Source organism: Homo sapiens, chromosome 21, assembly GCF_000001405.40.
Source record: "Homo sapiens chromosome 21, GRCh38.p14 Primary Assembly".
NCBI lineage: Eukaryota > Metazoa > Chordata > Mammalia > Primates > Hominidae > Homo > Homo sapiens.
In genome coordinates this window covers 42,862,429-42,877,321 of record NC_000021.9, presented here as the reverse complement: position 1 = coordinate 42,877,321, position 14,893 = coordinate 42,862,429, and the positions used below count along the sequence as shown (strand labels likewise).

The 14,893-nt window shown below is 51.7% G+C and overlaps 1 protein-coding gene across 12 annotated transcripts in view, besides 1 other annotated feature; it reads left to right on the top strand.

The window, feature by feature from the left end:
- Window positions 1-14,893, top strand: part of WDR4 (WDR4 tRNA N7-guanosine methyltransferase non-catalytic subunit) — a 49,905-nt gene that overhangs the window by 15,677 nt on the left and 19,335 nt on the right. For 7 of the 12 annotated variants that reach the window (NR_048535.1, NM_033661.5, XM_011529433.2 and 4 more), the window contains 3 exon segments: window positions 555-620; window positions 3,631-3,771; window positions 13,726-13,882. Coding sequence is in view for 11 of the 12 variants with exons in the window: in NM_033661.5 (NP_387510.1) it covers window positions 555-620; window positions 3,631-3,771; window positions 13,726-13,882 (364 nt within the window). In the remaining variant the exon portion in view is untranslated. 12 annotated transcript variants of the gene reach the window in all.
- Window positions 10,820-11,515: an enhancer, noted in NCBI's record as "H3K4me1 hESC enhancer chr21:44285917-44286612 (GRCh37/hg19 assembly coordinates)". NCBI's record gives its function as "activates a minimal SCP1, AML or CMV promoter by ChIP-STARR-seq in primed H9 embryonic stem cells {active_cell/tissue: H9 hESC(primed)}" and the evidence as "EXISTENCE:reporter gene assay evidence [ECO:0000049][PMID:30033119]".

The window sequence follows — 14,893 nt, the reverse complement described above, 5'->3', positions numbered from 1 at the left end:
AACTACAAAAATTAGCCAGGCGTGGTGGCAGATACCTGTAATTCCAGCTACCGGGAAGGCTGAGGCGGGAGAATTGCTTGAATCCAGGAGGGGGAGGTTGCAGTGACCTGAGATCATGCCCTTGCACTCCAGCCTGAGTGATAGAGCGAGACTCCAACTCAAAAAAAAAAAAAAAAAAAAAAATTAGGGCCAGGCGCAGTGGCTCACATGGGCCAGGCGCAGTGGCTCACACCTGTGAGCACTTTGGGAGGCTGAGGTTGGTGGATCACCTGAGGTTGGGGATTTGAGATCACCCTGATCAACATGGAGAAACCCCGTTTCTACAAAAAGTAAAAATTAGCTGGGAGTGCTGGTGCATGCCTGTAATCTCAGCTACTGGGGAGGCTGAGGCAGGAGAATCGTTTGAACCTGGGAGGCGGAGGTTGCGGTGAGCCAAGATCGTGCCATTGTACTGGAGCCTGGACAACGAGAGCGAAACTCCGTCTCAAAAAAAAAAAATTTGTTATTTCTCTCTAATGATAACTCCTTTTAAAATTATTGTTATTTCTCTTTAGTGATGATGACAGCCTCTTCATCTATGACTGCAGTGCTGCAGAAAAGAAGTCACAAGAAAATAAAGGGTGAGATGTGGGGAAGCTTTTTCAGGGCCTGCTTTAATGGTTCGATAATGGGACCAGAGGGTCTAAGAAGCAATTGTTGTCCTACTTGCTGAATTCTTAGCTTCTGTCACACAGTGGTGCAGATAAGTAGCACCTCAGGAGAGACATGTAAAAGTAACTTTTAGGTTAGGCATTAAGAGTACATTGTTGGCTGAGCACGGTGGCTTATGCCTGTAATCCCAGCACTTTGGGAGGCCAAGGTGGGTGGATCACCTGAGGTCAGAATTTCCAGACCATCCTGGCCAACATGGCGAAACCCTGTCTCTACTAAAAATAAAAAAGTTAGCTGGGCGTGGTGGCAGGCACCTGTAATCCCGTCTACTTGGGAGGCTGAGGCACAAGAATCACTTGAACCTGGGAGGCGGAGGTTGCAGAGAGCTGAGATTGCGGCATTGCACTCCAGCCTGGGGAATAGAGCAAGACTCTGTCTCCCAAAAAAAAAAAGAGTACAGTGTTAGTGCCGGGTGCGGTGGCTCATGCCTATAATCTCAGCACTTTGGGAAGCCAGGGTGCTGACTGAGGTCAGAAGTTCAAAGCCAGCCTTGCCAATGTGATGAAACTCCATCTCTACTAAAAATAGCCAGGCATGCTGGTGGGCGCCTGTAGTCCCAGCTACTTGGGAGGCTGAGGTGGGAGAATCACTTGAACCTAGGAGGCGGAGGTTGCAGTCGGCCGAGGTTGCGCCACCGCACTCTCCAACCTGGGTGACACAGCAAGACTCCGTCTCAAAAAAAAAAAAAAAAAAAGCACAGTGTTAGGACTTTTCTAAATACTTTTAGTTTCTGTCAGTAATCACATCTTACTGGCTCCTTGAAGTAATGGTTGAAGGCGGGTGTAGGAAGTTAACTTCAGCTAATTGAGATATAAAAGTAGAGCATGTGAGTGTTTCGTATGGTGGCTTTCTTTAGTTATCATTGGTATTGTGGCTCAGTTTGTTTTATCGTTATTATTATTTTTTGAGACAGGGTCTCTCTGTTACCCCGGTTGGAGTGCAGTTGCACAAACATAACTCCCTGCAGCCTCGACCTCCTGGGTTCAGGTGATCTCCCGCCTCATCCCCCTAAGTACCTGGGACTACAGGCACATGCCAACATACCTAATTTTTTTTTGAGATGGAGTCTTGCCCTGTTGCCAGGCTGGAGTGCAGTGGCGCTATCTTGGCTCACTGCAACCTCCACCTCCCTGGTTTAAGTGGTTCTCCTGACTCAGCCTCCTGAGTAGCTGGGACTACAGGCACGCACCACCATGCCCGGCTAATTTTTTTTTTGTATTTTTAGTAGAGACGAGGTTTTACCATGTTGGCCAGGATGGTCTCGATCTCCTGACCTCGTGATCCACCTGCCTTGGCCTCCCAAAGTGCTGGGATTACAGGTGTGAGGCACCGCGCCAGGGCTGCCTAATTTTTGTAGTTTTTTGTAGAGACGTGGTTTCGCCATGTTACCCAGGCTGGTCTTGAACTCCTGAGCTCAAGCGATCCTCTCGCCTTGTCCTCCCAAAGTATTGGGGGAAATTCAGCCAGATATTGGGCAAAATTCACCCCCGATATTTCACGTAGGTTCTTTTCAATTTTCCCTAAGCGTCGGCCGGTTTGAGAAATAAAGGGACAGAGTACAAAAGAGAGAAATTTTAAAGCTGGGCGTCCGGGGGAGACATCACATGTCGGTAGGTTCCGTGATGCCTCCTGAGCCGTAAAACCAGCAAGTTTTTATTAGGGATTTTCAGAAGGGGAGGGAGTGTACGAATAGGTGTGGGTCACAGAGATCACATGCTTCACAAGGTAATAGAATATCACGAGGCAAATGGAGGCAGGGCGAGATCGCAGGACCACAGGACCGGGGCAAAATTAAAATTGCTAATAAGTTTCGGGCACCACTGTCATTGATAACATCTTATCAGGAGACAGGGTTTGAGAGTAACCGGTCTGACCAAAATTTATTAGGCGGGAATCTCCTCATCCTAGTAAGCCTGGGAGCGCTATGGGAGACTGGGGCTTATTTCATCCCTACAGTCTCGACCAGAAGATGGCCACACCCAAGGGGGCCATTTCAGAGGCCCACCCTCAGGGGCGCATTCTCTTTCTCAGGGATGTTCCTTGCTGAGAAAAAGAATTCAGCTATATATCTCCCATTTGCTTTTGAAGGAAGAGAAATATGGCTCTGTTCCGCCTGGCTCACCAGCGGTCAGAGTTTAAGGTTATCTCTCTTGTTCCCTGAACATTGCTGTTATCCTGTTCTTTTTCAAGGTGCCCAGATTTCATATTGTTCAAACACACATGCTCTACAATTTGTGCAGTCAACGCAATTATCACAGGGTCCCGAGGTGACATACATCCTCCTCGGCTGACAGGATTAAGAGATTAAAGTAAAGACAGGCATAGGAAATCACAAGGGTATTGACTGGGGAAGTGATAAGTGTCTATGAAATCTTCACAATTTATGTTTAGGGATTGCAGTAAAGACAGGCATAAGAAATTATAAAAGTATTAATTTGGGGAACTAATAAATGTCCATGAAATCTTCACAATCCACATTCTTCTGCCATGGCTTCAGCTGGTCCCTCCGTTTGGGGTCCCTGACTTCTCGCAACACCAAAGTGCTGAGATTATAGGTCTGAGCTACCATACCTGGCCTGTTATTAGTATTGTTAATGTGAGTTTATCCCTGCCTCTAGCCTTGGGTTAGTCCTTGCCCATGAGGAAGAGGGCCATGTGTCATTGAGGGTTCTTCCAGCTTAGCTCTCTGGGTTCTGGCATGTATGCTGGGAGATTTTCTGTTTAGTTAGGCTTCATGCTGATAAAATTAGAGCTGTTTTGAACTTCCCCATGTCCCTTTAATATGTCTGTATTTTGGCTACGTGATCCCCTTAACAGTTTCTACCTCCTCCCATGTTAGAAATTACCACGCTGGCCAACAAGGAATGCAGCCTTATTTCCTTAGGTGAAGCTTAACCGTCTTCCTCCTCTCTTCCTCAGGGAGGACGCGCCCTTGGACCAGGGGAGCGGTGCGATTCTGGCGTCCACCTTCTCCAAGTCTGGCAGCTATTTTGCTTTAACCGATGACAGTAAGCGTCTGATTCTTTTCCGTACAAAACCATGGCAATGTCTGAGTGTCAGGTATGAGATGCTAACGCTGGATTCTTAAGATGTCGAATGCACACCTTATCCTTGCATGCCTGTAGCAATAGTGACCATAACATGGTGATAAGGGTGATAAGTGGTTGACACGGAGCCGCAGTTCAGTGCCAGACACCACTTTCAGTGCCACATGTGTGTTGGCTGATCTGATCCTCACGGCAGTTCTGGGAGGGTGCAGGGGTGCTGTTCTGTCCCACGCTGGGTGGTGAACAGTTAGATAGCAGACTCCGATCAGTGGGCTCGGAAGACAGAGCCGGGCCCTGCTGCTGGTCCCTCCACCTACAGTGTTGGTGCCCCTGTTTTCCAGGGCAGTCCTCTGTCCTTGTGATTAGCAGGAACAAGGCTGTGAGCCTGCCCTGGAGAGTGATAGGGATTTGGGGTCTGTTGAGGGGTCTGTACCATAGTATTAAGCTAGGTGGGTTTAGTGCACATATGTCTGAGTATCTGAAGAGTGGATGGGGAGTGGATCCGTGGGGATGGGGAGGCCAGTAACTCTGGCAAGAACGGGAGATATCGCTATGCCTTGCCCTCTTACTTAGCAAAGTCCGGAAAGGTTCTTCTGCCTTCCCTATTCCTCCTTTTTTATTTTTTTGAGACGGAGTTTTGCTTTTGTTGCCCAGGCTGGAGTGCAATGGCGCGATCTTTGCTCATCGCAACCTCGACCTCCCGGCTTCAAGTGATTCTCCTGCCTCAGCTTCTCCAGTAGCTGGGATTACAGGCACTTGCCACCATGCCCGGCTAATTTTTTGTATTTTTAGTAGAGATGGGATTTCACCATGTTAGCCAGGCCAGCTCTTGAACTCCTGACCTCAGGTGATCCGCTGGCCTCGGCCTCCCAAACTGCTGGGATTACAAGTGTGAGCCACTACACCCGGCCTGTCTTTAAGATTTTTATTTCATCTTTTTTTTTTTTTTTTTTGGAGAAGGGTCTCATTCTGTCACCCAGGCTGGAGTGCGGTGGTGTGATCTTGGCTCACTACAGCCTCCGCCTCCCAGTTTCAAGCAATTCTCCCATCTCAGCCTCTCGAGTAGCTGGGACTATAGGTGCACACCACCATGCCTGACTAATTTTTGTATTTTTTGCTGGAGACAGAGTTTCACCACATTGGCCAGGCTGGTCTCCAACTCCTGATCTCAGGTGATCCACCCGCCTCAGCCTCCCAAAGTGCTGGGATTACAGGCATGACCCACCGCTCCCAGCCTCATCTTATTTTCAAAGAGAAGAGTAAAAACCCAAATTCAGCTGGGTGCAGTGGCTCCCACCTGTAATCCTAGCACTTTGGGAGGCCGAGGCAGGCGGATCGGATCACCTGAGATTAGGAGTTCGAGACTAGCCTGGCCCACATGGCAAAACCCCGTCTCTACTAAAAATACAAAATTAGCTGGGCATGGTGGTGCGTGCCTGTAGTTCCAGCTACTCGGGAGGCTGAGGCAGGAGAATCTCCCGAACCTGGGAGGCGGAGGTTGCAGTGAGCCGAGATCATGCCGTTGCACTCCAGCCTGGGTGAGAAGAGCAAAACCCCGTCTCAAAAAAAAAAAGCCAAATTCTAGGTGGCATCAAAAGCAATGAATGCCTGCTCTGTCCTCTCTTCCAGTCAGGTTAAAAAGAAAGCCCTGAAACGCTGCATCATTTCTACTCTATGTGTTTTTGTGTATACGGGTTTTACTATATATGTTTTTATGTATATGTGATTTACAATATGTTTTTGTGTCTTTGTGTATCAGGTAGGTAATAGATGCACATGGTTTAAAAACTTAAAACACAACAAAATTAAACCAAAGAGTATGCGTCAGTCTCCCTTCTTACCCACCTTCTGGCTCCTTTCCCATAGGCAGTGATGGTTTCCCAGTAGGAAAATGACTTTTAAATGCATGTCCCTACATGTCTGAGTTATAACTGATAATAAATGGCTGCTTCCACCTGACTGCTGTGGATCGCGTCATCTTTATCTTGAAAGGCCTGTGAACGGCATCCTCTTGCTAAGATAGCCACATGAGTAAGTCATTTAGGACCTAGAATAGAGAAGATGGGAAGTGTTTTCAGGATTCAGGGTGAATGCCTCAAGGTGGCCTTGAGGTGTCCTGCTCTGAGCCCCTCCACAGGGATCTCTGCAGGTGGCAGGGGCTTTCTAGTAGGTTGGCCTTGACTTTGGGTTTCTTGGACAACCTGTGGGAAGGAGGGATGGACAGGTTTTCACCTCTCAGTGTTGAAAGAAGATAGTAGTTGTCCTAGTCTGCTTGGGCTGCCCAACAAGATACCACAGACTAGGGGCCTTAAATAACAATTTTCTCACAGTTGTAGGGGCTGGAAAACCAAGATCAAGGGGCTGGCAGGACAGGGCTGGTTCCTCTGAGGCCTCTCTCCTTGGCTTGCTGATGGCGTCTTCTCCCTATGTCCTCACAGAGTCGTCCTTTTGTGTCTATGTCCTCATTTCCTGTTCCTGAAAGGACACTGGTCAGATGGGGTCAGGGCTATCCCAATGACCTCTGTTTCACCTCTGTAAAGGTCCTATCCAAATACAGTTACATTCTGAGGTCCTAGGTAGGTCAGGGCTTCAACATAGGAGTTGTGGTTTGGAGGATTCAGTTAAGCACATAACAGTTCATTTTGCCTTTCGGACACTGGCTGCTGTAGAGAGCTTTCATAATTCACATGAGATTCTCAAAGGGGGCTTGGACTCCCAAAAGTTAAAAATGAAATGATCTAAGGGAATCTGATGGTAATTTTTTTTTTTAATTTGAGACGGAGTTTCACTCTTGTTTCCCAGGCTGGAGTGCAATGGCGTGATCTCAGCTCACTGCAACCTCTGCCTCCCAGGTTCAAGCAATTCTCCTGCCTCAACCTCCCAAGTAGCTGGGATTACAAGCATGTGCCACCACGTCTGGCTAATTTTTTGTATTTTTAGTAGAGAAGGGGTTTCACCATGTTGGCCAGGCTGGTTTCGAACTCTGACCTCAAGGTGATGTACCTGTCTCAGTCCCCCAAAGTGCTAGGATTACAGGAGTGAGCCACTGCGCCTGGCCTGGTAATTCTTTTCCTAAAGTAAAGGCCCTGGCTGAGCTTTGGCATAGGCATAGTGCACAAGAGCCGCTTGGGTGTCTTGTGAAAGCACAGACTTTGTGATTCATTTCATCTGGGCTAGGCCATATGCTCTGTGATTTCTTTCTTTCTTTGTTTTGAGACAGAGTCTCGCTCTGTCACCCAGGCTGGAGTGCAGTGGCCCAATCCCGGCTCACTGCAACCTCCACCTCCCGGGTTCAAGCGATTCTTCTGCCTCCGCCTCCCGAGCAGCTGAGATTACAGGCACTTACCACCATGCCCAGTTAATTTTTGTCTTTTTAGTAGAGATGGGGTTTTGCCATTTTGGCCAGGCCGGTCTTGAACTCATGACCTCAGGTGATCCGCTGACCTTGGCCTCCCAAAATGTTGGGATTACAGGCGTGAGCCACTGAGCCCAGCTACAGCAGTTTTCTTGACTATCCCTCTACTGGTGGTCAGCATTTTTTTTTTTTTTTGAGATGGAGTTTCGCTGTTGTTGCCCAGGCTGGAGGGCAATGGCACGATCTAGGCTCACTGCAACCTCCGCCTCCTGGGTTCAAGTGATTCTCCTGCCTCAGCCTCCCGAGTAGCTGGGATTACAGGCATGCACCACCACGACCGGCTAATTTTTTCTATTTTTTTAGTAGAGATGGGGTTTCACAATGTTGGCCAGGCTGGTCTTGAACTCCTGACCTCAGGTGATCCACCCACATCGGCTTCCCAGGGTGCCGGGATTACAGGTGTGAGCCACTGGCGCCTGGCCAGAAGAGCAACTCTTTATATACTTAAGAATCATTTGTGTTTTGTAAACTTTTTTTTTTTCCATATCCTATGTTTTTCCATTGGGGTGTTGTTTATTTGTAGGAGCTCTTTATATTTGGACACTTTAGTTTTACAAAATAAGCCCATCTCCCAAAGTGTGGCTCTCAACATGGCCTTTCTCACACGGCCTTTCTGTGGCACAGGTGTGTAAGGTGAGCTGCACCGGTAACCACTGAGACTGGATTAGCATTTTCCAATACCCTTGCCTTAGCTGACAAAACTTCAAAGCCCTGGGGTCAAGAACAAGTGCAGAGCTGAGATCCACGTGCCGATGTGTACACGGATCTCAGACGTGATCCAGTTACTTAGACAACAGTGGAGTGTGTGGGTTCCCGTTCAGCTATGGTGAGTGGGGTTGTAGAAGTTGGGAGTGAATTCTCACTTGTCTGCTTCCCCTGGAGTACAGTTCGGTGTCCTCTCATGCTACCTTTTGCCTTTTTTATCCTTTGGTTTTGGTCCGTACAGAAAATTGGAAACCACTGAGAAGTACAAAATGAGAGCAAGAACAAAAACCACCCTGAATTTCACCACCCAGAGCCAGAGTATGGGATGAGCACTGGGGCCAGGCCCTCCTCCTCCTCTCTGCAGATGGATTACAGGATTTGCATGTGTTACACTGTAGTGGTGGCATGTGCTAGCCTATAGCCTGTTCCCCCCCGCCAGGGCAGTGTTGACAACACTGTGTCATTCCCTGTAGCTGAGTTGTTACATTGTTTGCACTGTTCCACTGCTCAAATGCTAGTGTTTCCTTGTACCTCTTCCTGCCTTTAAACTTCGGGAAGTTTGAGCCAGAGCAACTGGGACAGCAGAGGTGTGGACAGTGTGGGTTTACTGGCACCAATGTGTGACAACAGACACGGCGAAGCTTCCCAAGCCTTGGTGTCCAGCGGTTTCCTTGGGGTTGATCACATGCTGTGGGGGTGGCTGACTTTTAGTTCCCAGCCCCTCCAGAGGTGGAGTGGACACCTTGTGGCCCCAGGCCCCTGCCCTAAATCACGTACTTAGGCTGCCTGTGGGGCCCAAGGCCCCTACTCTTGGAGATGAGGCCAAAGGCAAGGTTAATTCTTCACTATGCAGAGGGTGTACCCTGTGCCAAGGCTTTTGATGTCTGGTACCAGACACCATTTGAGGAGTAGCCACTGCCTGCAGAGGGTAGGGGAGGCTGGGTCTGGCCGTGTGTGCCGTAGGCCTGGCTGGTGGTGGGGGTGAGCGGGCAGGGAGCTCACTCGTGTCTTGAAGACGCTGACTCTTTCAAGTCTGGACAGTGCTGCGGCTGTGAAGTTCTGAGGTTGCCAGAAAGATGGAGACGTGGGTGGAATGTCACCTTACTTCAATGTGAGCTTGCTGTCCAGAGGTAGTGTCTCACTTTGAACTTGGGAGAGAGGGGATGTCCAGTCTGCCTGCCCGCTGTGTCCTGGTTCCTAACAGTGGAGCTTCTTCACCCTGATGGAAGCGCGGAGGCCCAGGGCTCCTCCAGGGGTTCTGACTCCTCCAGAGGGACGGGGCCTCTGCTCCTGGCATCGTGCATGGCCCAGAGGAGGGAGGAATCTAGAATTCTCTCCACTCAATGTGGTTGCCTGTGGCAGTTGGCTTCTTGGAGGAGGTCATTTGAGGTTGAGAGCTCCATGAGTTGGGACTCGTGGTGGATGCAGATACCGCTGCAGGCTGGGCGGGTGGGGGGCCTCTTCATCCTTGGTTGTAGGTGCTTTGCCAAGAGGGAGATGTCTTGCTGTGTTGACTCGTCTTTTGAAGGTTGTGTGCTGGTGTGATTCTCTTTATGGAAGCACCTGGTAAAACTCTGGGAGGCTGGCATGGTGGCTCATGCCTGTAATCCCAGCATTTTGAGGGGCCAAGGTGAGAGGATCCCTTGAGGCCAGCAGTTCGAGGCCAGTCTGGCCTCAACATAGTGAGATCTCGTATCTACAAAGAAAAAAAAAAGCACAAGTCCAAGAGTGGGCAGTGCATCTAGTTTAAGTACCCCTAATCTGAAATTCACAATCCTCCAAAATCCGAAATTTTGTGAGCATAGGGAAGATGCTCAAAGGAAATGCTCACTGGAATGTTTCGGATTTTGGATTTTTAGGTTAGGGATGCTGAGCCAGTAAGTATTTGCAAATATTCCAAAACCTGAACAAATCTGAAGTGCAAAGCACTTTTCGTCCCGAGCATTTGGGATGAGGGATGGGCAGCCTGCAGCATGTGAGCAAAGAGCAGTGTTTGGCTCTTGGCAGTGCCCCTTTACCTGTGCGTTCACTTTTTTTTTTTTTTTTTTTTGGTGGAGCGGAGTGTCTCTTTGTCACCCAGGCTGGAGTGCAGTGGCACGGTCTTGGCTCACTGCAACCTCCACCTCCTGGGTTCAAGCGATTCTCCTGCCTCAGCCTCCTGAGTAGCTGGGATTATAGGAATGAGCCACCACGCCTGACTAATTTTTATATTTTTAGTAGAGATGGGGTTTTGCCATGTTGGCCAGGCTGGTCTTGAACTCCTGACCTCAGGTGATCTGCCCACCTTGGCTTCCCAAAGCTCTAGGATTAGAGGCGTGAGCCACTGCGCCCGGCCTGCTCTTGGTTTTGAAAGTGATGTCAGCAGTATAACTTCGTGTAGGAAATGTTTGCCTTAGGTGGTGTGGAAGATGGACCATGTGATTTGATGCAGTCCAGGCAGCAGATTACAAAATCCCGCCTCGATGGTGTGGCTTGGGGTTTCTCCTGACCTTGGTGTAGGGCACGCCTTGCTGCCTCCCCTTTCTCTAGTTGAACTGCAGGACAGTGGGTACAGTTGTGAAGTTACTGCCACTTTCAACATCTCTTGGCAAATTCCTCAATAATCTTTTTAAAATTCCTTTAGAATTGTGGGTTTGTGAACTTTTCAGCATCGGGTGGAGTGAAATTGTTACCCTTTCTCTCAGTGAGAAATTGGAGGGGATTATTGTGGCAGGAGGAGTAGGTTTGGGGGATGCGAGTGGGGCAGGGAGAGGGGCATAGGGTGAGTTTTATCAGGAGCTGCTTTCAAGGAGAGGACTAGGGTGAGTGGAACCATGCTGAGCTGGCAGGCAGCACCCTGTGGCTGGTCCGCAAACATGGGGGCTGCTCCCCACACCTGGAGGCTTTTTATGCCTCTTAGATCTCAGACTCTTAGATCTGATGCACCCGCTCCCCAGAAAACCGCCCACGCTTAGCACATCCACCTCCATTCAGTTTTAGAGGTTCCATGTACTCCTAGCCTCTCTGCATTTCACTGAGGCCCTGCACCGCTGCAGGATGCCCCTGAGCTGGGCGAGACCCTAGGCTCTGTCCCATGGTTGCTTTGTTACTGTGCTGCTGCTGGGAAGCTTCCTGTTGAAGGGTTTTGAGGCGTAGCCAAGATGGAAGTTGTGGGCAGCAACGATTCTTTCCCAGGTAGCAGTTTAGAACCGCAAGGGACGGAGGGCCTGCCACCTGGGCAGTCAGGAGACTCTTGGCCCGAGGGACTGAGGCCAGGTTTTCCAAGCCGAAGATGAGGACACAGGGTGACGAGTGATACATTGATTTTGACATGTGTGTTTATGAGGGAGAAATCCTCCCAGTGGAGTCTGTGTTTCCGAAAACAACTGTGAGAGCCACGGCAGCACGTGGGAAAGGCAGAGCCAGAGAACCATCTGATTCGCTCTGCCCAGGGGGTGGAGAGAGAGCACCTGGCTGCTGGAGTGTGGGTGTGGATGGTGCCTGGTGTCCTCAGTGCCCTGTTGGGGCTGCCCAGGCGGCTCTCTGGAGGGGGGCTTGGGGCAGTGCCAACTCAGTCTGGGAGTTCAGGGCTCAGCCACTCGACTCCTGGCAGAGAACGGAGGGTGTGGAGATGGGTGGTTACTTGCTAGGTTCTGCTGGTCTCTGGGCCCTGAACCCAGTGACTGTGGAGGGAGTGCTGAGACCCGAGACCCGAGACCCTGCACAGGCTGGGGGTTGGAGGGCGGGCGGGGTTGTGCCTCAGCTAGGGTGACAGGCCGGCTTGCCATTGGTCCAGTGACCTGCCCCATTCTGTGACCTCCCTTGGATCCTAGCACCCAAGCCTGCGAGTAAGGCTCAGCTGCGTCCTAGAATCGGTGCCAGGATAAGCCCAGCTGGAGAGGCTGGGAGCCTCCGGCTGGGGCAGGACAAAGGGACGCGGAGCAGTGCCCTCTGCTGAGCTGGGCAGGAGGCACGGTGTCGGGGGCCATCTGTGCCACACGCCTTCCAGCCAGGCTGGGGGGATGAGCGCCCTGTGAGTCCAAGTCCATCCCCCCTCCCTGTGGCATCCTCTTGGGCTGCTCCTCTGTGCCACCATGGTCGTGTTTGTGGCAGCTGCTTAATGAGCCCATCGGACATTGGGGGCTGTGTCGCTGGTGCAGTGCAGGGCTGTTTGTTTAAATTGCAGTGCACCCTGAGAATTCTGATTAATCTTGCCCCAGAGCGTAATTATCTTTCTTTGTCCTTGTTTTCTCTGTGTTTACCCCGTTATACTTCCCTTCTGCCTCCCTTCTGCAGCTCTGCTGCACAGCTGTGAGGGAGGAGGAGGGATGCTGCTTCCAGCCTGGGGTGTGGCCCAAAGGTCCTGCCTGCCCTTTTCTGTCTTTTAGTCCCTCTGCCCCTGAGAGAAACATAGGGGCCTCATTGAGGACAGCGTTCCTGAAGCTTCCATCTCAATTTCCAGCCGCAGTGGGCCGGGCGCCCTGTACTTGTCTGCCTGGTGTTGGCTGCGTATTGGGCAGTGTGTGCTGCCACAGCCCTGGGGGTGGGGAAGCAGGGCTGGCTGCTGTTCTGTAGTGAGGCCCTGTGGCTAACTGCGTGTGTGGGAAGCTGTGCTACAACTCATATCTATGTAAAATAGAACATATGGGTCCCTGCCTTGTGGAGAGGACATAAATACGGGACGATTCCAGTAGAAATGATGTGGAAATGAGAGCCCCAGGAAGTAGTGTAGCCCTGAGCCCTGGCGAAGGAGAGGGAGCGAACTGTGACTTTGGTTCTTGCTGAAGCAGTGTGCAAACGTGCTGCATCCGGAACTCTGGTGCATCCATGACTCTGGGTCGGGGTTGGATTCATGGATGTGCTGATGTGGATGTGGACTGGGGGGAGCGCAGGCCTCTCACACGCTGGATAACCGAGCTTCCTCCCGAGGAGGGTAGGGTGCTGCCTCACTGCTGCCCTGGGCTGGGTCCTGCCCTGAGGGTGGCCAGGCCCCTCCATCCCTCTGCAGGGCATGGGGCACGGCTCTCTGTCTGAGGCTCCTGGTTCGACGCAGCAGAACGAGCAGCAGGGGTCAGTGTGGGTCAGGGGAGCGGCAAGGCTGGGGGGCCCTGGAGACTGGTGCCTGCCTTTGTCCTTGACAGTGGCCCCCAGCACACTCAGCGTTTATGGAGAGGGCCGTTGTCTCCCTCAATGCATGATGAAGACTCTGGGGTTAAGGAACCATTCCCCCATTTCTTGATGACAGTTTTCAAACACACAGGAAAGTTGAGGATTTTGTCACGCATTTATCCACCACCTAGATCCCACCATCAGGAGCAATTTTCTATTCTTTTCTTTTTTTTTTTTTTTTTTTTTTTGAGACGGAGTCTCGCTCTGTCGCCCCAGGCTGGAGTGCGGTGGCGGGATCTCGGCTCACTGCAAGCTCCGCCTCCCGGGTTCACGCCATTCTCCCGCCTCAGCCTCCCGAGTAGCTGGGACTACAGGCGCCCGCCACCACGCCTGGCTAATTTTTTGTATTTTTAGTAGAGACGGGGTTTTCACCGTGTTAGCCAGAATGGTCTCAATCTCCTGACCTTGTGATCCACCCACCTCGGCCTCCCAAAGTGCTGGGATTACAGGTGTGAGCCACTGCGCCCGGCTAGGAGCAATTTTCTTAAAGAAAAACGTTGTGAAAGTAAATTTGTCGAAGGCATTGGCTTTGTTCCAGTTGTTAGCATTGCTTAATTTTTTTGGCACCACCTTCAGCAGCTGGAAAACAGAGCATATGGCCAGGTACCGGTGCCTGCCACCGCCCACGTGGCCTGCCAGGCTGTCGAGGACCCTGCGCTGCTCCTGGAAGCTAATGGGGGTGTCTTTCTGGCCTTCTAGGACCGTGGCAAGGAGGTGTACAGCCCTGACTTTCATAGCCTCGGAGGAGAAGGTCTTGGTGGCCGACAAGTCTGGAGACGTCTACTCCTTTTCGGTGCTGGAGCCACACGGGTGTGGCCGTCTAGAGCTGGGGCACCTGTCTATGCTGTTAGATGTGGTAGGTGGGGGACGTGGTAGGTGGGGGACATGGCAGGTGTGGGACACGGTACATGGGGGACGTGGCACGTGGGGCATACGCTGAGTCAATGTCTACCCTGTCAAGGCTCAGGCACCTGTCCATGCTGTTAGACGCAGTACGTGGGGGACATGGTATGTGGGGTACAGGCTGAATCAACGTCTGCCCGGTCTGTGCCCCAGCGTTTGGTGGGGAGAATGGGGCTCCCCCGTAGCAGGGACAGCCCTCTGCAGATTTGGGAGCAGGGGAGTGGTGGGAACAGGATTTAGGAAGGTGGAGCAGACAGCAGGGAGAATGAAGAAGGCAAGTGAGACAGGAGGTGGTCAGTAGGTGGCCCCAGGTTGGAAGTGAAGGTGTGGGAGGAGCAGGTGCAGCCACGAGCCTCTGGCTCCGCCTCCTTGGCCGGGAGCTGTGCCAGGTGCTGTAGGAGCATCACCTCAGCACTGCTCCCAGCAGCCCCTGTCACCCCACTCTGTGTGCCCCGTGTGTCACAGACACACACCTGGAGCCCCAGAGGGCGCAGGCCCACAGCCCGGGTGGTGGAGCTGGGATTGGACGCACACAGGGACAGTCAGGAACAATGGCGAGTGTGGGGTATCAAAGGGAACCTCACTGGGACTTGGTGACAGATGGGTGTGGGGACATGTGTGACAGGAAGGCAAGGAAGGCAACCCAGTGTTGGGCAGGAGGGTGCAGCAGGCCTGTGGCGGGTGGAAATGGGCGTGGGGCCTGGATTTGCCAAGGTGCGGGAGACAGGCAGGCAGGGGTGGCACTGCCCCACCCCAGAAGCCTGCTCTAGCACTGAGGAGTGAGGGCTAGAGGTGGCCAGGGACCCTCTGGGGAGGGAGAATGAGGGCCACCAATTAGACGTAGGGACGGGAGGAGGGGAGGAGCCACGCTGGTCTGTCCTCGAAGGCCTCATCCTCTTGGCGGCCAGGCTGCAGCTTCCCTGCCTTCTTCCATGAGGGACTTGATTCGGGAAGACTCAGGTGA